The 24,410-nt window shown below is 38.8% G+C and overlaps 1 protein-coding gene and 1 pseudogene across 3 annotated transcripts in view; both read right to left on the minus strand.

The window, feature by feature from the left end:
- Positions 1–9,870: 9,870 nt before the first annotated feature.
- On the minus strand, positions 9,871–11,302 carry EIF4A1P5 (eukaryotic translation initiation factor 4A1 pseudogene 5; annotated as a pseudogene).
- ALG5 (ALG5 dolichyl-phosphate beta-glucosyltransferase) overlaps positions 21,494–24,410 on the minus strand; it is a 49,630-nt gene continuing 46,713 nt past the window's right edge. For 2 of the 3 annotated variants that reach the window (NM_013338.5, XM_047430283.1), the window contains 2 exons: positions 24,270–24,355; positions 21,494–21,813 (listed from right to left, as the gene is read on the minus strand). In NM_013338.5, the coding sequence (NP_037470.1) occupies positions 21,698–21,813; positions 24,270–24,355 (202 nt within the window). In that variant the 3' untranslated portion in view covers positions 21,494–21,697. The remainder of the gene's footprint in view (positions 21,814–24,269; positions 24,356–24,410) is intronic. The other variant, NM_001142364.1, reaches the window with a different exon arrangement.

The following is a 24,410-nucleotide window of genomic DNA, read 5'->3' on the forward strand; positions in this document are numbered from 1 at the left end:
TGCTTTTATTGCTTGTGCTTTTGATGGCATATTTGCTTCTCGTTCTTGATACCTCTGCTGCCCTTAACAAACCCACAAAGATTTTAATAAATTAAATCAATAAATGAATGAATATGCCATAAATAAAAAAGAACAGAAAGCCTTCTACTTAATTAAGTGGCAGGACTTACTCAACCATCAGCTCCCAGTTGAAATTTCACCTGGGCTTCCTTGTAGAGTGCTCCTTCTTCCCCTCCTTGCCTCATTAGTGACTTCCCTTCCTCTGCATCCCAGTTTAAGTGTCACATCCTAGAGAAGCCTTCTTGGTCTTCTCTGACTTAGATCCTCTGTTTTGTCATCTCATGTGGCCTATATCTTTCTCATTCATAATCAACACTGTTGTTCCACATTGATATATAATTTAACTATTTGATTAATATCAGTCCCCTTTAATTAATTATAACATCAAAAAGAATGAAGAGTGTGTCTGATTTTGCTCTCATTTCTCACAGCTAAAACTGTGTCTGGCACATAGTAAATGCTCATTAAATACTTATGAAATGTAGGAAGATTTACTATGAGTAGAAGAAGAGAATAGGATAATGGATCCTGGGCTTGGGCTTGAGTTTTTGATATCCCAAGTGCAGAGCAATGAAGGAGAAAACAATGCCTGCCCCTGGACTCTTTTTTGGAAGACTAACAGTAGTGTGTGTGTGTATGTGTGTGTGTGTGTGTGTGTAGTGAGGGTGGACTGGGTGGTGATGCATGTTCATAGAGAAGTGGCAGGCATGTTAAAGGGGCTGAAGAGACAGAGTATGATCCACAAAACTTCCACTGTAAGGGTAAAACTAAGGCTTATTCTTATTTTTACGTGGGATTTAATTATTTGACGGTATATGTGGCACAGACTCTAATCCCATTATAAGGGCTTTTTTACATTTAAATTTTATTTATTTATTTCATTTTTATATATTTTTGTAGTTTGTGATGGGGGTGTTTGATTTTGTGACACCTGATCCCCATAGAACTAAATGGGCCCCATTCTTTTTGAATAGCAGCTATTTAAGTTAAAGATAAATTTAATTTTGATTTGGAAGCTGTGTAATACTTTCTGAAATAAAAGCAACAACCTAGGGAAGCTCAGAATAATAGTTGGGGTTTACCGCTAATAACGGGAAAACAAACCCTTAGTTTAAAGCCAAGTTTTGGCCTCAAATTGGCTAGAAAATGTCTCTCCTTTCCTTTAAAGGACAGGCTGAAGCCATGAGACCAGCAAGACCCCTGTCTGTGTGCTGCCTGTCTGAAATGTGCTAATTTTTTTCCTCATAACTGTGAAGTGATTAACACGTTGCCTTTTTGCCATTTTCATGGTATTATCATCTTTATAATGGCTAATAAATCTTATGCTCTTCGATCCACACATTGCTCTTTCATTTAACTTTAATTTATAGAACCCTAGGAGAAATTAAAGAGATATTCAAAATACTTTAAATGCTAATAAAAGAATATCTCTAAAAGCATTTTCTGTACACATAAAATGTTTCATGTGCACACAGAATCTTAAACATTTGACCTAATCACTTTTCTTCCTTGATGATGTATTTCTATGTTCACATATCATTTTTAAAATTTTTAATTTTAGTTCTGGGGTACAAGCGCAGGATGTACAGGTTCGTTACATAGGTAAATGTGTGCCATGGTGGTTTGCTGCACCTATCAACCCATCACCTAGGTATTAAGACCAGCATCCATTAGCTATTTGTCCTGATCCTCTCCCTCTCCCCACCCTCCCTTCCCAACAGGCTTCAATGTGTGTTGTTCCCCTCCCTGTGTCCATGTGTTCTCATTGTTTAGCTCCCACTCATAAGTGAGAACATGCAATATTTGGTTTTCTGTTCCTGTGTGTGTTTGCTGAGGATAATGGCTTCCAACTTCATCCATGTCACTGCAAAGGACATGATCTCATTCCTTTTTATGGCTGCATAGTATTCCATGGCATATATATACCACATTTTCTTTATCCAGTCTTGTTCATGGGCATTTGGGTTGATTCCATGTCTTTTCTATTGGTTCACATATCATTTAATGAGTCTTAGGTCTATTTTTTAGCCCTCTGTTGACAATAGTTAGGAGCCAGGTGCAGTGGCTCGTGCCTGCAATCCCAACACTTTAGGAGGCAGATCACTTGAGCACAGGAGTTCGAGACCAGCCTGAGCAACATGGTGAAACCCTGTCTCTACAAAAAAAATACAAAAATTATCTGGGCTTGGTGACATGTGCTTGTAGTCCTAGCTACTCGGGAGGCTGAGGTGGAAGGATCACTTGAGCCCCAGGAGATGGATGTTGCAGAGAGCCGAGATCCCACCACTGCACTCCAGGCTGGGTGACAGAGCAAGGCCCAGTCTCAAAAAAAAAAAAAAAAAAAAAAAAAATTTAGGGATAGAAAATTTCATTTACAGGAGGAATACGATCAGGAAAACTATTATACAACATGGTGACTGGTGACTATAGTTAATAACAATGCATTGTATACTTGAAAATTGCTAAGAGAGTAGATTTTAACTATATATATCACAAATAAATGATGAGTGTGTGAGGTGATGCATATGTTAATTAGCTTAATTTAGCCATTACACAATGCATGCATATTTCAAAACATCATGTTTTATACCATAAATATATACAATTTTTATCAATTAAAATGAATAAATTTTTAAATAGACATAGAAGGAAACAAACCCTGATACTTATTTGTTCATTCGTTGTTTTTTTTTTTTTTTTTTTTGAGACAGAGTCTTGCTCTGTCACCCAGGCTAGAGTGCAGTGGCACGATCTCAGCTCACTGCAAGCTCTGCCTCCCGGGTTCATGCCATTCTCCTGCCTCAGCCTCCCGAGTAGCTGAGACTACAGGCGCCCGCCACCACACCCAGCTAATTTTTTGTTTGTGTTTTTCGTAAAGACGGGGTTTCACCGTGTTAGCCAGGATGGTCTCGATCGCCTGACCTCGTGATCCACCGGCCTCGGCCTCCCAAAGTACTGGGATTACAGGCGCGAGCCACTGCGCCCGGCCTGTTCATTAGTTTTTGCATTACTCTTAGAGTGAGAAGTTTGAGTGGAGAAATAAAGTCTTTTTTATTTTTTTGAGACAGAGTTTCACTCTTGTCACCCAGGCTGGAGTGCAATCACTCGATTTCAGCTCACTGCATCCACCAGCTTCGGCCTCCCAAAGTGCTGGGATTACAGGCATGAGCCACCATGCTCGGCCTGAAATAAAGTCTTTTAAAATAAAGTTGCCTATAGAATAAGGTAGGTCATAAACACATAAATAAAATATGAGATAATATTCTGTATTTACAAAATACCAAAATATTCTTTCTGATATGTACATGTGTGTTACTGTACATTTTCATAAAGTTTTAGTTTGTAAGCTGACGCTCATGTTATTTAATTTGGTTACCACTATAACCCTGTGGGGAAGCAACCCACATCATATCATAGATACCATGTCATAGATAAGAAAACTGACATGCACACAGCTTACCTCACTGGAAAAAGTCACATACTCGCGAATCAGTATCTATCCCCCAAACCAATGCCTGTCTAGAGGAAAATATGATGCCCAAGAAACCACATTTTTAATGAGATTAAATTTTCCAGCATATATTTCTTACGTGAAATATAAATAAGTTTCTGTTTTCATTAGAATAATTTTAATGAAGTGAATGTAAAAAAGTGAATGTGATATGGTTGCCACTAAAGCTCAGCTATAATACATTTACTATTAATAATCAGAAAGGTGAATTGCAGGTGGCAGATGTTAAAGAGGGTAAAACATTATATGGGACTTGATTAAACTGAGGGTTTTAAAATTAAAACCTCCATTTGTTTTTCTCTTTACATAATCAGCCTGTGGGAAGAGAAAAGTAACCATAGTTGAAAACATTAGTGGGCCCAAATCTCATCCTACCTACATCTGGAGTGGTATGATAATCTGTCCTCTTCTGATTAGGGCTTGTATTTGATAGGTTCTTCTAATGCTTCTTTTATTTTATTTTTATTTATTTTTTTTTTTTTGAGACGGAGTTTCCCTCTGTTGCCCAGGCTGGAGTGCAATTGCGCAATCTCGGCTCACTGCAACCTCCGTCTCCCAGGTTCAAGCGATTCTTCTGCCTCAGTCTCCCTATTAGCTGGGATTACAGGCAGATGCCACAATGCGCAGCTAATTTTTTTATTTTTAGTAGAGATGGGGTTTCACCATGTTGGTCAAGGCTGGTTTTGAACTCCTGATATCAGGTGATCCACCCGCCTCGGCCTCCCAAAGTGCTGGGATTACAGGTGTGAGCCACTGCGCCTGGCCAATACTCCTTTTATTTTAAAAAGGACAAGTTAGACACTAGTTTGCATGCATAGCTTATTGATTATCCTGCAGTGGGGTCATAGCTCCCCATTTGTGATGCCAGAAGATTGCCTGTGGAATCACAAGACCTCTTCCAATGTTCTGTTATGCTATAAAAAGACCAGAACTTTTACATTTTAAATTAAAAGAATATCTGTGCATTTTTAAAAAATAATAAAACCAGTAGTTGTGGCAGTAGTAGCTGGTAGTGGTGGTAACAGTAATAACAGGACTGGGGGAAAAAGTTAAATGCCTATTTTAGTTTTCAAAATTAAACTTTTTAGGCTGGGCATGGTGGCTTACACCTGTAATCCCAGCAATTTGGCAGGCCAAGGCGGGCAGATCGCTTGAAGCCAGTAGTTTGAGACCAGCCTGGGCAATATGGCAAAACCCCTTCTCTAAAAAAAAAAAAAAAAAAAAAAAAATTAGCCGGGCCTGGTGGCACACACCTGTAGTCCTAGGTACTCGGGAGGCTGAAGTGGGAGGATCGCTGGAGCCTGGGAGGTGGAGGCTGCAGTGAGCTGAGATCGTGCCACTGCACTCCAGCCTGGCTGACAGAGTGAGGCTCTATCTCAACAAACAAATAACAACAACAACAACAAAATTAGAGTTTTCATTTTGAGATACCTGAAGATTTACATGGGTTATGGACTGAATGTTTGTGTCTCTCTAAAATTCTTATGTTGAAATCCTAACCCCCAATATGATTGTATTAGGAGGTGGGCCTTCGAGAGGTAATTAGGTCATGAGAGTAGAGCCTTCATGAATAGGATTAGTGTCCTTATAATAGAGAACCCACTCTCCCTCTCTGCCAAATTAGAGCACCATGAGAACACAGCTTACTGCAAATGAGGAAGAGTCCTTCACCAGACCATGGATCTGTGGGCACCTTGACCTTGGACTTCCCAACCTCCAGAAATGTGAGAAATAAATGTATGTTGTTTAAGCCACCCCAGTATATAGTGTTCTGTTATAGCAGCCTGAACAATGACAAAATGCAATTTTAAGAAATTATACAGAAAGATCTCAGTGTTCTTTGCCCAGTTTCCCCCAGTGGTAGCATCCTGCAAAACTATGGTATAAGACCAAAACCAGGATATTTACACTGATACAATTAAGATACAGGACATTTCCATCACCACAGGATCCCTCCTGCTGCTTCTTTATAGCCACATCCACTTCTTTCCTACTCCAACACTTTCACTAATCATTAATTCATTCTCTATTTCTATAAATCTGTCCTTTCAATAATGTTTTATAAATAGAATCATACGGTATGTATGCTTTTTTTCCACTCAGCATAATAATCTGGAGATTAATTAAGGCTATTGAGTATATCAATAATTGTCCCTTTTGGTTGCTGAGTAGTATAGCATGGTACGGATACACTCCAGTTTGTTTAACCATTCATCTGTAGGAGGACTTCTGGGATATTTCCAGTTTGTGGCTATTATGAGTAAAGCTGCTATAAACATTTATGTAAAGTTTTTGTGTGAACATAAATCTTCATTTCTTTGAGATAAATGCACAAGAGCACAATTGCTGGGTCGTGTAATAGTTGCATGTGTTGTTTTTAAAGAAATTGCCAAAATACTTACCAAAGTGGCCATACCATTTTACATGCCCACCGGCAATATATGCATCATCTAGTTTCTCTGCATCCTTGTCAGCATTTATCATTGTCATTATTTTTTGTTTTAACCATTCTGCTAGGGGTATAGTAGATATCTCATTGTGGTATTAATTTGTGTTTTGGTAATGGCTAATGATGTTGAGTATGGTTTCATGTGCTTATTTGTTACCTGTATATCTTTCTTTGGTAGACATCTCTTCGTACTTTTGACCACTTTTAAATTGAATTGTTTATTTATTTACTTTTTTACTGTTGAGTTTTAAGATATCTTAATATATTTAAGATACTAGTTCTTTGTTGGATATGTGGATTTGGGGTATTTTCTTCCACTCTCTAACTTGTCTTTTCATCCTCTTAACAGGGTGTTTCATAGAGCAAGAGGTTTTAATTTTGATGAAGTCCAATTTAATTTTTCCTTTTATTGATTGTGACTTAGGTATAAAGTATAAGATCTCTTTGTCTAGTTCTAGATCCCAAAGATTTTCTCCTGTGTTTTTCTTTCCAAAAGTCTGACATTTTACATTTAAGCTATGACCCATTTTGAGTTAAGTTTTGTGTAAGGTGTGAGACTTAGGTTATTCAATTTTTGCCTATAAATGTCCAGTTTTCCCAGTACCAATTGTTCAAAAGATTGTGTCCTTCACTAAAGTGCAATTGTACCTTCATTGAAAATCAGTTGGGTCCAGGTATAGCAGCTCACTTGTAATTTCAGCATTTTGGGAAGCCAAGGTGGGAGGATTGCTTGAGGCCGGGAGTTTGAGACCAGCCTAGGCAACATTGAGAGATCCTGTCTCTACTAAATGTTTTTAAAAAATCAGTTGGGCATGTTCATATGGGCCTATTTCTGGGTTCTCTATTCTGTTCTGTTGATTGATCTGTATCTATCTATCCACCAATAGTGTCAATCTTGATTACTGTAGCTATCTAATAAGTTTTGAAGTCAAAAAGGTTGATTCTTCCTCCTTTTTCAAAATTGTTGTAGTTATTCTAGTTCCTTTATCTTTTCATATAAATTTTAGAATAATCTTGTCTACATCTACTAAAATTCTTGCTGAGATTTTGATAGAAATTGTATTAAGCCTGTACATCAATTTTGGGAGAATTGACATCTTTACTATGTTGAGTCTTCCAATTTAGGAATATGGTATATGTCTCTCCATTTACTTAGATCTTCTTTGATTTCTTTATCAGCATTGTAGAGTTTTGTGTATACATGATTTACACCTATTTCCTCTTTTTTTGGTTGATTATAAATGATATTGCATGTATAATTTCAGTGTCCATGTGTTCATTGCTAGTATATATAAATACAATAAATTTTTGTATGTTTATCTTGTATTCTGTGACTTCATTTTTTTATTTTTTATTTTTTGAGACAGAGTTTCGCTCTTGTTGCCCAGGTTGCAGTGCAATAGCGCAATCTTGACTCACTGCAACCTCTGCCTCCGGGGTTCAAGCGATTCTCCTGCTTCAGCCTCCGGATTACAGGCGCGTGCCACCATAACTGGATAATTTTGCATTGTTAGTAGAGATGGGGTTTCTCCATGTTGGTCAGGCTGGTCTCAAACTCCCGACCTCAGGTGATCCACCTGCCTCGGCTTCCCAAAGTGTTGGGATTACAGGCATGAGCCACTGTGCCCAGCCTCTGTGACTTTAATGAATTCACTTATTAGTTCTAGGTGGATTTTTTTTGATAGGTTCCTTAGAATTTTCTATGTAGACAATCATGTGATCTACAAATACAGAGTTTTTATTTCTTCCTTTCTGGTCTGTATGTCTTTTATTCCCCTTTATTGACTAAAACTTCCAATACTATATTGAATAAGAATGTGGTAAGAGTAGACATCCTTGCCTTGTTCCTGCCCTAAGAGGAAAATACTCAGTTTTTCACCATTAAGTATAATGTTTTATGTAGGTTTTATGTGCTTACATTTTATCAAGTTGAGGAAGTTCCCCTCTATTTCTAGTTTTCTGAGGGTTTTATTGTGAATGGATGTTGAACTTTGTCAAATGGTTTTTGTGGGAATCAACTGATATAATCATATAATTTTCTTCCTCAGCCTGTTAATATAATGAATTATGTTGATTGTTTTTCAAATAATGAGCTAGCTTTGCAGATGTATAATAAGTCACACTTGGTCGTGATGGGTAAATCTTTTAAAATATTCCCAAATTCTCTTTGATAATATTTTATTAAGGATTTTCATGCCTGTATTCATGAGAGATACTGGTCTGTAGTTTTGTTTTCTTGTTCTCTTGTTCTGGTTTTTGGTATCTGTTCTATTTTCTGGAAGAGAGTATGTAGAACTGGTGTTAATTCTTTTTCTTTAAATGATTGGTAAAATTTTCCTGTAAAACTGTCTGAGAGAGAAGTATTGAAATCTCCAACTATAATTCATCTGTTTTTCCTTGCACTTGTGTCCGTTTTGCCTCATGCATTTTGCAGATCTGTTGTTTGGGACACGCACACTTGATTTCTATGTTTTCTTGGTGGATTGAATCTTTTTTACTACATAATATCCCACTCTGAGTCTAGTAATTTGTTTGATATAAAGTCTTTTATCTGATATTATAATAGCCACTCCTGCTTTCCTTTGATTAAAGTTTGTATGATATCTTTTTCCATTTTATACTTTCAACCTGCTTATATTCTTATATTTGTAGTGAGTTTCTTGTAGACAGCATAGAGTTAGGTCATGTTTTTAAATACTCTCTGCTAATCTCTTTTACTTGAATTTAGATTAGTTATATTTAATGTAATATATTCTTGATATGCTTAAGGCTTAAATCTGTCATTACTTTTGCTTGTTTTATGTCTGGGTTTTGTTTGTCTTTTCTTTTTTTGAAATAGGGTCTTACTCTGTCACCCAAGCTGGAGTGCAGTGGTGCAATCATGGCTCACTGCACCTCAACTCCTGGGCTGAAGTCATCTTCTTGCCTCAGCCTCCCAAGTAGCTGGGGCTACAGGTGCATGCCACCAAGCCTGGCTATTTTATTTATTTATTTATTTTTATTGAGATGGGGTGTCACTATGTTGATCAGGCTAGTCTCAAACTCCTAGTCTCAAGCAATCCTCCAGCCACAGCCTTCTGAAGTGCTGGGATTACACACATAAGCCATCATGTCTGGCCTTCTGTTTTGTTTTATATTTCTGTTTTCTTTTTCTGCCATCCTGTGGTTAGATGAACAATTTTTAGAATTCAATTTTTGTTTATTCATAGTGTTTTTGAGTATATCTATTTATATAGCTTTTTCGTGATTTCTCTAGGTATTACATTATACATAACTCATCACATTTTACTGGTGTTATTTTACCAGTTGGAGAGAAGTATAGAAACATATCTGTTTTTCTCCCTTTACCTTCCCTCATTTATAACAATCTAATATACGTCCTCTGCATACGTTTAAAACTACATCAGTGTTACAATTTTTGCTTCCACAATCAATTTTTAAAACTCAAAAGGAGAAGGAAAGTTTATTTATTTATTTTAGTTTACCATATGCCTTCTTTCTCCCTGATGTTTCAAGGTTCCCTTTTTGGTTTTTTGGCAGTTTCTAAGACATTTTATTTAGAATTTTGCATTTGTTTCCTGAATCAATAAATGCTATACAACACAATGTAAACATGGCTACCATTTTCTGTTCCCTGCTTCCCCCTACCTGGGGACAATCCCCTGGCAACCTTACTCAGGAGTTTTAGGGGTTCTCCCTCCAGATTTGGTCCAGAAAATGAGGTTGAGTGACATAGTCCCTCGAATCACTTTCAAAGGAGGTCAGCTGAGGTGAGGAGTGTGCTCTCTCTGGGATCTGGAGGTTACTAGATTGGGGAAATGGATTAGTGATTTTTGGGAGAAGGGCTGGTGCCTGGGGCAAGGGCCTACCCCAAAGAAAAGGGTGTCTAAAATGTTCACGTTTCCTTCTTTTGCCTCAAAAAGTGACATTTATTCAAAGAAAAAAAATGACAAGATGTCCATCCCTTGGCTCCCCTTCCCTCCCCACCCCTGCTGCTCCTCAGCCCCTCGAGACTGAACCCTGGCTGGGGCTGGGAAGCAGGACAACCCCTTAGGTGAGGTCAGCAACATTGAGGGGCATTTCCTCAATGGAGGTGTTGTAGAAGATCTCAATGTCTCAAAGAGTCCTCTTGTCTTCTGCCACCATGTTAATAGCCACACCTTTATGGCCAAACTGTCCACCTCGACCGATTCTGTGGATATAGTTTTCCCTGTTCGTGGGAGGGTCGTAGTTGATGACTAAAGAAAGCTGCTGCACATCAATGCCTCTGGGCAGCAGGTCAGTGGTAATCAAAACTCTGCTAGAGCCAGAACGATACTCCCTCATGACCACATCTCGTTCCTTTTGGTCCATATCTCCATGCATGGCAGAGACAGTAAAATCTTGGGCATGCATCTTCTGGGTTAGCCAGTCCTCCTTCCTTCAGGTGTTGATGAAGATGACTGCCTGGGTGATGGTCAGGGTTTCATTCAAGTCACACAGTTGTGTCCAGCTTCCACTCCTTTTGTTCCACGTTGATGTATAATTGGTGGATACCCTTCAGGGTTAACTCTTCCTTCTTGACAAGAATCCGAATGGGGTCCCTCATGAACTTCTTGGTCACCTCAAGTACATCAGAAGGAATTGTAGCTGACAGCAAAACTACCTGGGTGTTGCTATTGAGCATTTGGAATATGTCACAGATCTGGTCCTTGAATCTATGGCTTAACATTTCGTCAGCTTCGTCCAGTACAAACATCTTGATGTATTTAGGAGACAGATATCTCCAGTTAAGCATGTCAGACACACGGCCAGGGGTACCCATGATGATATGGGGAGCTTCCATCTGCAGTTTCTGTACCTTAGCACACATGTTGATGCACCTAATACAGGCATGACAGGAGACACCCATGTAGTCTCCCAGTGCCGTGATCACCTTCTGTATCTGCTAAGCCAATTCTCGAGTAGGTGCTAGGACCAAGGCCTGGGTGGCCTTTAGATCTAATTCAATCTGCTGCAGAATCAATATGGCAAATGTGGCCATTTTCGCAGTCCCAGATTGGGCTTGAGCGATCACATCATAACCCTTGGTCAAGGTAGAATGGCTCACTGCTGGATGTCAGAGGGCTTCCCAAAACCATGGGCATAGGTGCCACAGAGGAGGGACTCCGAGAAGCTCATGTCATCAAAGCTGTCAACAATCTCATTCCAGTTACTCTCGATGATGCCCTCAGGCTCCATCCCATCAGGGCCATTGTCTCTGGATCAGGAATCCTGACTCGCTCATGATCCTTAGAAACTAGCCAAGGTTCCCTTTTTTATTGTCTCCTTTCTATTTAGAGAATTTTGCTTAGCCATTCTTTCACAGTAGGTCTGTGGGTATTAAATTCCGTTAACTTTCTTTCCTCTGAGAATGTTTTGATTTCCCTTTCATTCTTGAATTATTATTTTTTTTGCTAAGTATAGGATTCTCCGTTAATAGTTTCTTTCTTTTAGCAATGGAAAAATATTATGACATGTCCTTCTGATCACCATGATTTCTGATGATAAATTAATTATCTGTCATTCTAATGGTTTTCTTCTGATAAATAAAGTGTCATTGGTTTTCAGCAGTTTAAGTATGATGTGTTTTGGTGTGGATATCTTTGGGTTGATCCTATTAACAGCTGAACCTGTAGGTTTTCATCTATTGTCAAGTTTGGGAAGTTTTCAGTCAATATTTCTTCAAGTATTTTTTCAGCCTTTCAGGGATTCTAATGACACAAATGCTAGATCTTTTTTATATATAGTCTCACAAGTTTTTGAGGTTCTGTATTTTTTGTTCAATTTTCTCTCTTTTGATCAGATTGTTCTATCTTCTAGTTTACTGATTGTTTCCTCTGTCCCCTTCATTCCACTATCAAGTTCATTCACTGAGCTTTTCATTTCAGTTATTCTATTTTTAAGTTCTAAAATTTCCACTTGGTTCTTCTTTATACTTCTATTTATTTGCTGAGGCTTTCTATTTTCTTCATTTGCTTTAAGAACGTTTGCAATTACATTGAAACTGTTTTGTCATGGCTGCTTTAAAAAAATCTTGGCCAGATAATTCTATTATCTCTATAATCTTATTATTGGCATCTATTGATTATCCTTTTTTATTCAAGTGAGTTTACTTGGTTCTTGGTTTGATAAGTGATTTCCTTTTAAATCTGGATTTCTAAATGTTTGGAGACTCTGGGTCTTATTTGAACCTTTTGTTTTAGCTGGCTTTTCCTGATACCACTCCATTGCCAGGTAGAGGTGTAAGTACAGATGCCCCACTAGGTCTCTACTGACACCAGAGAGGAGGACTACTACTGGTGTTGGGCAGGGGTGAGAGGTCTGGCTTACTACAAGGTCTTCACTGTCACTGTGATGGGGGCAGCCTCATCACCACTGGGCCACGAGAGAAACAAAACCTACTCTGACACATGACTAACTCTCTGCTTGGCCTCCTCTGACACCACCCCAATAAACACTTGTTACTGCCGGGTAGGGGTGAAGACCACACCTCCCTGATGGTCTCCACTGGTATCATAGGAGTGGAGGACTCATTACAGGCTAGCAGGGATAAAAGTCCTGCACCCTACTTGTCTTCTCTGACATCACCCCAGTGGGGTGTTTGGTGACTAATTACAGCCTCATTAGAATTTGAGTTGTCTCCCCGCTCAGTCTTTGCTGGTATCAGTTGGGGAGTGGCCACCACTTTTCTGTAGTATTGGTTGGAGTAGAATAGTTCTTGTCTAAATGTTTTTTTGTCTTGTAAGCCTGCCCCTTTCTCGGTCTTTTGGCAAGAGAGGCATTTATTGGGTCTTTTTCTTTTTGTCCATGTCCATTGGCATTTCCAGGTTGCCAGCTTCAGCTTCAAGTCTGGGATATAAGAGACAAACAAACAAACAAAACAAACAAAAAACAAAAACAAACAAACAAAAAACAAGGAACTCACCTTTATGTCATTCCTTGGGCCTCAAGTTCCCTAGCCAGTTTGCCTTCTTCTTTTCACCTTTCAGAGTATAATTATGTTTGTTGTATATATAATGTCCAGTGTTTTTAGTTGTACTTAGTAGGAGGAATAGGGGAAATTACATCTACTACTCTGTCTTCACAAAAGTGGAATTCCTTACTTTACTTGTTTTTTTCCTCATCATATAATTATCATGATTCAACTGGCCCTTTCACTAAAATTCATAAGAAAACATTTCTATAGATCTCAAAAAATACAATGTAAAATATAAATGTGTAGGATTGCTATCCTGTTTCAGAAGATTGACAAAGATCAGGCTGGGCATGGTGGCTCACGCCTGTAATCCCAGCACTTTGGGAGGCCAAGATGGGCGGATCATCTGAGGTCAGGAGTTTGAGACCAGCCTGACCAACATGATGAAACCCCGTCTCTACTAAAAATACAAAAATTAGCCAGGCATGGTGGCACGTGCCTGTAGTTCCAGCTACTTGGGAGGCTGAGGCAGGAGAACCGCTTGAACCCAGGAGATTGCAGTGAGCTGAGATCACACCACTGCACTCTAGCAGGGGAGACAGAGCAAGGCTCCGTCTCAAAAAAAAAAAAAAAGGCAAAAAACGAAAAAGAATGACAAAGATCAAAAGGAACTGACAGTATATAAACTATCTTCCCAGATGGAGGTGATTTTACTTACATTGTAGTTGTGCATTGTGCATGCGGAGTCCCATAGAGATGCAACAATTTAGGGGAAATTTTCCTAATTTTAGACTGCAAAGATTCATCCTTCCTCAGAACATATCTGGCTTCTTGATCTCATATTATTTGCATTGCAATTTAAATGTTTAACATATTCCTTTCTTTCTAAGTAGATCCCTCGAGAATAGACATTTTTTTAAAGTAGAACTGCTAGGCATTCAATCATTGAGTGGATGATGGAAGGACTTACACTTCATAGTGTATATAGTGCGATGTTAAGGACTTTTATTTTCCTTACAATTTTATTTCAAAAGATTTAAATAAATTCACACCACTGGAGAGTTGGGACATGTTTTGCAATTACTATAGCTTTGGGGCCCTAGGTTTTACTATTTCTGCGATGATAGAAAAAGCTGCAGTGACATTCATCTACCCTGCACAGAGGTACATGTTGTTACTGTAATATTAATGGGTCAGAGATATAGACCTTATGACTTTGTTTTCCCCAGCAGTATTTTTGGTCTTTTTTTTTTTTTTTTTTTTTTTGAGATGGAGTTTCGCTCTTTCACCCAGGTTGGAGTGAAGTGGCATGATCTTGGCTCACTGCAACCTTCATCCCCCGGGTTCAAGTGATTTTCCTGCGTCAGCATCCCGAGTAGCTGAGATTACAGGTGCCCACCACCAGGCCCGGCTAATTTTTGTATTTTTAGTAGAGACAGGGTTTTGCCATGTTGACCAGGCTGGTCTCAAACTCTTGACCTCAAGTGATTTACCCGCCTCTGCCTCCCAAAATGCTGGGATTATAGGCGTGAGCCACCGCGCCTGGCCCCAGCAGTATTTTTGAGGTGCATTGTGATACTGCTCAGGTAAGGACCTCTTTTGTTCCCCTTTGTCCTTTCTCAGTACTATCAGAATTTAGACAGGATCAAATCTAGGTAAAGTATTATGTTTTGTGACCATCAAAATACTAACTGGAGTTTTACTTCAAAATCAGCGAATCAAAAAGATATCACTTATTAGAGTCTATTATTGGATTAACAAAATAAATTTATCAATTTGTGGATTTGGCACTTTTGAGACTGCACAAAAACAAACAAAAAACTGCACAAAAACACAATCAAAGCATTTTTGAGACTGCACAAAAACAAAAACAAAGCAGTCCTCTAGACTTCTTCTTCAGGGGATTTAATTGTCAATAAAATGGATAATCTCGTTCATAGAATTATTTTTTCGATGAGTGAATTGAAATGGTAGCATTATCTAACCATTTCCTTTATTGAACAATCACAATTTAGGATGCTGTAGAGACAAACAAATAAAATAAAGGCAAAGTTTCTGCTCTTAAGGAAATTATAACTGATATGGTTTAGTTTTGTGTCCCCACCCAAATCTCATGTCAAATTGTAATCCCTAGTGTTGGAGGAGGGACCTGGTGGCAGATGATTGGATCTTAGTGGTAGATTTTCCCCTTGCTGTTCTCATGATAGTGAGTGAATTCTCAAGAGACATGGATGTTTAAAAGTGTATGGCGCCTCTCCGTTTGCTCTTTTCCTCCTTCTCCAGACATGATTGTAAGTTTCCTGAGGCCCTTCACCTTCTGCCATGATTGTAAGTTTCCTGAGGCCCTTCACCTTCTGCCATGATTGTAAGTTTCCTGAGGCCTCCTCAGTTATGCTTCCTGTACACCTGTGGAACTATGAGTCAATTAAACCTCTTTTTTTTTTTTTAAATAAATTACTCAGTCTCAGGTAGTTCTTTATAGCAATCTGAGAAAGGACTAATAAAATAACTGAATAAAGAAGGTGGAACATAGAACTGGAGAATCAACTACGAGTAGAAGTACAGTGCACCCCTGAACGATGCAGGGGTTTGGAGTGCTAACCCCTGTGTAGTTGATAATCCATTAACTTTGACTCCCTCAAAACTTAACTACTAATAGCCTGCTATTGACTGGAAACTTTACCGATAACATAGTGTATTAACACATATTTCCTAAATTATATGTATTATATATTGCGTTCTTACAATAAAGTATGCTAGAGAAAAGAAAATGTTATTAAGAAAACCATAAGTAAGAGAAAATATATTTAACATTCATTAAGTGGAAGTGAGTCGTCATAAAGGCCTTCATTCTTGTCTTCACATTGAGTTGGCTGAGGAGTAAGAGGAGGGGTTGGTCTTGCTGTCTCCCAGGTGACAGAGGCAGAAGAGGTGGAGGAGGTGGAAGGGGAGGCAGGAGAGGCAGGCACCCTTGGTGTGACTTCATGGAAATATTAATATATCATAATTCTGGTCTGATTTTTTTTCATTTCTCTAAAAATGTTTCTCTACAGTACCAATCCTTCTTCTACCATTTGCTTTAGTTTCAGTGCCCATATTGTGGAAGGGTCCAAGTTGTAAAAGAAGTCACAAGCAGACTTCAATAATTGGAGTCCTGCTTCTTGTATGTCTTCTTCTGCATCATCTGGCACTGGTTCAGAAGCACTCATCTTCATCAAGTCATCTTCTGCTAACTCCACTGGTGTTGTCTCTATTACCTGTTGAATTTCTCCAACATCCATATCTCAAAACTGTTCACCTGCCATCTTTTTTTTTTTGCCCTATCCACAATCTCTTTCATGATTTCTTTGATTGGCTCTGTCATAAATCCTGTGAAGTCATGCACAACATCTGGACACAGTTTTCTGCAGGAATTATTGTTTCATACTTGGTGACTTTCACAGCTTTTATTTTTCTATAACGATGGCTTGCATCTTCAATGGTATAATTCTTTCAGACTTTTTTTTTTTTTTTTTGAGAGACAGGGTCTTGCTCTGTTCCCCAGGCTGGAGTGCAGTGGTGTGATGACAGCTCACCACAGCCCCAAACTCCTGGGCTCAGGCAGTCCTCCATCCTCAGCCTCCCGAGTAGTGAGGACTACTGGCTGCACCAACCACCATGCCCAGCTAATTTTTTAATTTTTTTGTAGAGATGGGATCTTGTTATGTTGCCCAGGCTGGTATTGAACTCCTGACCTCAAGTGATCCTCCCACCTCGGCCTCCCAAAGTGCTGGGATTACAGACGTGAGCCACCAGACCCCAACCCCTTCCAGCCTTTCATGTCCTGTTGGGCTTTTGTTCTAGCATTGACAATCCTTTCTATAGAGAACTGTGTGTAATGAGCCTTCAAGGTCCTATGACTCCCTGATGTAAAGGCTGAATTAGAGACATTGTGTTTGGGGGCAAGTAGACAACTGCTAAGCCTTCCGTGTTGAACTCATGACGTTCTGGGTGATCAGGGGCATTGTCCAATGTCAAAAGAACCTTAAAAGGCAATTTCTCACTGGCAGGGTACTTTTTGACTTCAGGGACAGAACATCAATGCAGGCAATCCAGAGAAAGGGGTATCATTGTCCAGGCCTCCTTGTACAACCAGAAGACTGGGAGCTGATGTTTATCATTTCCTTTCAGGATTTAGCAGCTTTACAGATAAGGGCAGTCCTGATCATAAACCCGATTGCATTTGTACAAAACAGCAGTTAGCCTGTTTCTTCCTGCCTTAAATCCTGGTGCTTGCTTCTCTTCCTAATAAATGTCCTTTGTGGCATTCCACCCCCCCACCCCCCAGATTAGGGCACTTTCGTCTGCATTAAAAACCTGTTTAGGCAGATATCCTTTCTCCTCAATGATTTTCTTAATGGTGTTTGGGAACTCGTGTGTTACCTCCTGGATCAGCAGAAGCTGCTTCTCCCTTATCTTGACTTTTTTTTTAAAAGCCAAACCTCTAAAATGAACCATTCATTTCTGGCATTAAATTCCCCAGCTTTAGATCCTTCACCTTCCTTTAACTTGTCATATGATGACTTTGCCTTTTTGTGAATCATATTAGAGTCTATAGGTATGTCTTTCTTATAGCAATCCTGTACCCACTTAAAAGCTGCATTTTCAATATGAGAGAAAAGGTATTTTGCAAAAATTGCAAGATTTTTGTACCTGCAGATGTAGTAGTGGCAATGGATTCACAAATTTTCTTTTTTTTTTCCCCAATAGTCCTTACACTATTTATTTATTTTTTTGAGACAGTCTCGCTCTGTCACCTAGGTTGGAGTGCAGTGGTGCAATCTCGGTTTGCTGCAACCTCCCTCTTCCGGGTTCAAGTGAGTCTTGTGCCTCAGTCTCCCAAGTAGCTGGGATTACAGGCACCCGCCACCACGCCTGGCGAATTCTTGTATTTTTAGTAGAGATGGGGTTTCACAATGATGGCCAAGCTGGTCTTGAACTACCTCAGGTGATCCGCCTGCCTCGGCCTCCCAAAGTGCTGGGATTATAGGCATGAGCTACCATGCCTGGCTTGGATTCATTTATCTTGAAATGGTGAGCAACCTCAGCTGCAGCCCTCATCTATGGTACATATCAAGCAATTCAACTTTTTCTTGTAATGTCATGACTTTTCTCTGCTTCTTGGGAGTATTTCCAGCATTACTAATGGTACTTCATATCGGTCCCATGGTGTTATTCAAGGTTTACAGTATTGCACTAAACATGAAAAACACATGAGAACTCCAAGAGCTCAATTTCTACTGTTATATGCAATTTACTGGAGAGATGAACTGCTCATATGGAGATGGTTAGTGTCACACAGCATATAAGTGGATATTTACAACACCTGAGCTCATGCAATAGCAACAGGAGGTGGCTACGAAATTATTAATTTTATGCAGTTATGATTTAATACTGCATTTTTTTTTTTTGAGACGGAGTCTCACTCATGTCACCCAGGCTGGAGTGCAGTGGCGTGATCTTGGCTCACTGCAACCTCCACCTCCCCAAGTGATTTTCCTGCCTCAGCCTCCCAAGTAGCTGGGATTACAGGCACCTGCCACCATGCCCAGCTAATTTTTGTATTTTTAGTAGAGATGGGGTTTCACCATGTTGGCCAGGCTGGTTTCGAACTCCTGACCTCAGGTGATCCACCCACCTTGGCCTCTCAAAGTGATGGGATTACAGGTGTGAGCCACCGCGCACAGCCTAATACTGCATCTTTGTTTAAATTTCTCAACTGGATATGTATGGTCTACGTATGCATAAATTTTGATAAATCTCTGAATAGATTCACGTGTATTTTATATAGTAAATTATAGACTAATATCAAAGTCTTTGATAGTATGAAAGATATTAAAAGGTTATGTCATTAATGCATAAAATACATGTAGATATTAGTCTATCATTTACTACTATAATTTTACAGCAACCTCCTGTTGCTATTTCAAATTTTCACAGATCCCCAAAAACTTTTTCAATACACTTTTTGAAAACAATCCATGTATAAGTGGATCTGTGCAGTTCAAACCTGTGTTATTCAAGGGTCAACCATACATAACTATATGGAGATAGAGGATTACAGATGTCAAGAGACATTATTGTCCATATGTGACCCTCAAGTCAAATAAGTTTCATATATATCTTATTCTATAAGAACAAGTGAGAAGACTTGACATAGACATGGCCAAGTTGTCTGAGGATCCTCAGGTTATACTGTTTTAATCATGCTCCATGTTCCTTTGTTTCCTATTTTTTATTTCAGTAGAAGCATGAATAATGGCTACTTGTGTAACCCTGGGCAAATTATTTGGCTACTTCGTTCTGTGAAATGCGGGTAATTATACCTGCATGATAGAGTTGTTTGATCAAACCACATAATGCATGCAAAATGTTCATTACTCTTCCTTGTACATACTATAAGGATAGTAGCTGGTGGCCGGGTGCAGTGGCTCACACCTGTAATCCCAACACTTTGGGAGGCCAAAGCAGGGGGATCATCTGAGGTCAGGAGTTCGAGACCAGCCTGGCCAACATGGTGAAACCCCATCTCTACTAAAAATACAAAAAATTAGCCGGGCATGGTGGCAGGCACCTGTAATCCCAGCTACTCGGGAGGCTGAAGCAGGAGAATCGCTTTAACCCAGGAGGCGGCGGTTGCAGTGAGCTGAGATCGTGCCATTGCACTCCAGCCTGGGGGACAAGAGCAAGACTTCATCTCAAAAAAAAAAAAAAACAAAAAACATAGTAGCTGTTATTTTGCTATTTCACTCTGCTATTGCTGCATGTAGTTTTTGTTAGCAGATTCTGTAAGTTAACAGGTTAAACTACCTTTTCTCTCTGATTGCCTCAGATTCTGTCCCATATTCCTCTTAGGTAAATCTGTGCTTAGAAAGGTAAGCTGGCATCAATGATATCAGACTTTTCCCTACAGTGTTCACAGACAAAGTACATAAAAAGTATCGTGACTTTCCTTCAATATTCCTATTATGCTTCAAATATGCATTTCTATCTCGTTTATAAAGAGCAATAACAAATTATTTCATTGCCTTTTTATAATTTCATTAAGGATCTTATTTTTGGCTCAAGGCTTATTCTTAAAAATTCTTATGAGCATGGTCTTTTCTTCTCTTTGCTTTCTATTATTCTTGATTTATCCATTTAAGTGACTTTAATGCTCACAAAATCTGGTAGTAAATAAAGTTTATTCATCTCATCATTATTAAGTGTTTACTATATGCTAAGCCCTGTGCTGGAGATACTAATTGTAGTAAGACATGCCTTCTGTTTTTTTTTTTTTTGAGACAGAGTTTCACTCTTATTGCCTAGGCCGGAGTGCAATGGCGCAATCTCGGCTCACCGCAACCTCTGCCTCGCGACTTCAGGCGATTCTCCTGCCTCAGCCTCCCAAGTAGATGGGATTACAGGCATGCACCACCACCCCAGCTAATTTTGTATTTTTAGTAGAGACGGGGTTTCTCCATGTTGGTCAGGCTGGTCTTGAACTCCCGATCTCAGGTGATCTGCCTGCCTCGGCCTCCCAAAGTGCTGGAATTACAGGCATGAGCCACCGTGCCCGGCAAGCCTTCTATTTTCAAGAAGCTTATTGTCTACTGCAGATGTGATATTATCGCTGTTGTTCAAACTACTGGAGTTATTTTTAGCTTACTTTTCTACTCAAAAATGTTTTATTCAATGTACTGCCAAAACTTTCTACTTATATGATCCCCAGTTTTCATACCTTCAGAAACTGAAGACTATAGCCGTCATTAACGAGTGTGGGCTTGGGATCCAGACTATGCAGGTTACAATCATGACTCCACTCTTTCCTAAATATGTGACCTTGGGCAGGTCACCGTTTTGTGCTTCAGTTTCCTCTTCTGTTGTGAGTCATTATATATCAAGTGCTTAGAACAGTGGGTGGCATACAGTAAACACTTAATAAATGTCAAACTGTTACTAGTTTGTTTCTCTAAGATGGCAGAAACAATCTAATTCTGATTTTGGGGGTTCATTATTTTGTAATTGCTATTAGTTCTTGCAGTATCTCAAAGAGGCTTCTGATGTTACTATGTAAATATATTAATATTATAAAATTGATTGACAGGAACTCCCTCCATCATCCATGCTAGAGTGCAGTGGCACGATCATAGCTCACTGTAACCTTGAACTTCTGGGCTCAGGTGATCCTCCCACCTTGGCCTCCAGTGCTAGAGATGAGTAAGACTATAAGGAAATGAACACCTTTGTGACTAAGTCTGTATTCTTGCCTTTAACATATAATTTCCTAAAGTTTCATAGGCTGAAATAGGTTTCTTTGATTTGGATAAATTTATGTACATTTAAACTTATACCCTAGCTTTATTTTTAAATCTCTGAAAACTGTTACATGATTGTAGTTTATAGTTAAGTTCATGAGAGTTATGCAGGCACTTTAGGGTAAGAATAGCTTCTGTCTACAAAAATTATGTTTCTCAGAATTATAATGATAATGAAGCTAAACAAACAAAAGAAAATCTGACTTTTTAAATAAACATCTTTTAAAAATCATTTATATCCAAAGAGATATATAATTTTTTACTTATGGAAAGTTATTTCTTTAAAATTATCAAAAGGCAGACAATGACAAGAAGTTTATTTCAGCTTTACTTAAAATTTTAGTTTCAAATGAAATGAAATGTGACACTGAAGCATAAGAACACAACTGAAGACTGCAAACAACCTAATTCATTTTCCGAGTTTGCTCAAGCCTCCAGGCACCAGTCAAATATCGAAGTCGTATAAAAAGTAGGTCTTTACCCATTTGTAGCCAGCTCCAGAATGGAACTAATTTAGAACCTGTGATTTAAAAATAATTAAAAACAAATTAGCTTAAATAAACTCAGCAGAAAACGTATCAGTTTAAAGTCAGTCTACATGATCGTTGTGAGCCTTTAGCACCTTAATTTTTTAAATCATGGACCAAAAAGTTAAACAATTTCAAAGCTGAAGTGAGTGGAGTGGTTTTCTCTAAAAACAAAAACAGAACATCTTGAAGTGAAATGAAACTTGAGAGGATCTAAATAGTGAAAATTTCATACGGCCCTACTATAGAAAGGAAGGACTACATATGGTGAGGGCTCTAGAAGTCTAATAAAAAAACTACTCACTGAGTGCTCATTACTGAAAATAATTACATATGAAACAACTAAAGATACAGCACAACAGATAAATATGATTATTTCTACATAAATCCAATCTTAATGATAAAAAATAAAGCCTATGATCAGACTTAAGATAATTTTGTCCAGACCTCTTTGTCTCGGGCTACACAAGAACACCAGCCTAATTAAATATCTGATCCACATATCACAGCAGATTCTTTTTTTGTTTTTTTTTTAAACAAGATCTTGCTCTGTCACCCAGGCTGTAGTGCAGTGACACGATTATGGCTCACTGTAACCTTGACCTCCCGGGCTCAAACGATCCAGTCCTCCTACCTCAGCCTCCCCAGTAGCTGGGAGTACAGGAGGCACGCACCACACCTGCCTAATTTTACAATTTTTTTATAGAGATGAGGTCTCACTGTGTTGCCCAGGCTGGTCTCAAACTCCTAGGCTCAAGTGATCCTCCCAACTTAGGCTCCCAAAGTGCTGGGATTACAGGCATGAGTGACTGCACCCAGCCACAGCAGATTCTTATAACCATTACTTATAGTATATACGTGCAGATAAAGTATCAGGAGGAAGGTTTAACATTTCATTATCATTTTAATTATACTTTATATTTAAAGAAGACCTTTTTCACTGCTCTGAATTTATATGACAGCTTTCTTCTGAAAACATTACCACCAAAGCACTGTAGAGACATTATCGTTTATCAGGGCCAAAAATTATCTTCATCCCACAAATGAGGAAGTTGAGGTACCTACAATTCATATTACAAGACAACTATCTCTGTAATGCAAATAAGCAAATGACTAAACATAAAATGGACTTTTACTTTTCCCCACCTCATCTTCCCATAGAGTCTAGGTTGGCCAAAGATCAACACAAATCAACAAAGTTGATCATGATACCCCTGAGTGATCCTTTGACCTGCTTCCCAATCCCCTTTGATTCTAGGCAGCTACTGTGGAGATGAGCTAAGATTTTGTAAACTCAGTTTGATTCAGCAAGATGTAAAGAGGTTTGAATTCATCCTAGACTATACAGTTTGTATAATCTCGAGATTGGTTCTTAACCTTTTTCTGTCCCTAAACATCTGAGGTTACAGAGCAATAATGGTTTACTGCAACAAGGACTCTCACCAGAAGAGCTGGACTTCGAAAAAGTCTCCAGTTGATTATGTTAACTGCTCCCACACTGTGAATTAATTTAGGTTCATTCTAAGGTAAGGAGAAAACTAGAATATGTTTAAAATTCTATACAGCCAGAGCTGTCTAAGCCTTTTAAAATAGGAATTATTAAGATTTATGATAGATTTCAAGTTATTATAGAGTTGGGATCTTTATACTTTTGGATATATGTACAGATATAGTTTTTAAATGGCTCTGGATTGACTGTGGACATTTGGAGTAAAAACACTTTTAGTTATTTATTTTTTCAGATGGAGTTTCACTCGTTGCCCAGGCGGGAGTGCAATGGTGCAATCTTGGCTCACCGCAACCTTTGCCTCTCGGGTTCAAGCAATTCTTCTGCCTCAGACTCCTGACTAGCTGGGATTACAGGTGCCTGACACCACGCCCGGCCATCTTTTTGTATTTTTTAGTAAAGACGGGGTTTCACCCTGTTGGCCAGACTGGTCTTGAACTCCTGACCTTAGGTGATCCACCCCCTCGGTCTCCGAAAGTGCTGGGATTACAGGCATGAGGCATGGTGCTCGGCCATAAAAAAAATTTTTATTTCTTATTTAGCTTTGCATAGTGGTTTGCAGGTACCTAATTAATATCCACCTAGTGATAAAAAAAATATAGGAAATGGTGATGCAAAAAATAAATTTATCTATCTCAAAAGACTATCAACCTTCTAATTTCAGATCACCATGACTTTGTCTATTGTAGGAAGTTTTATTGAAGTTTCTTCGACAAGGTAGTAGGCCTACTGAAGGCCCCATGAACAGACAAAAAATATAAAAGGCAGCAAGCCAGATGGAAGGTATTAGTAGGTACTATTCTCCTTGGAACTGGATCTTTGAGTCAAGACAGCTGAGAAGGGCTTGATGAGGGGAGCAAGGAGAACATTAAAGCCAGCTGACTTTACTAAACAACTGTATTATCTGACTCAAGACAATCATACAATAAACAATATACTCACCTTCAATTTCTGTCCAGTTGACAGCAATTTCTGCTATTGGAATTTTAAAGAACTGTGCTATGTACAGTAGTTCTACATCAAATGCCCTAAAATAGAAAATATATTGATATTTATTTTTAAAGACAAATAGAACACAACTAC

Source organism: Homo sapiens, chromosome 13 (assembly GCF_000001405.40).
Source record: "Homo sapiens chromosome 13, GRCh38.p14 Primary Assembly".
Lineage (NCBI taxonomy): Eukaryota > Metazoa > Chordata > Mammalia > Primates > Hominidae > Homo > Homo sapiens.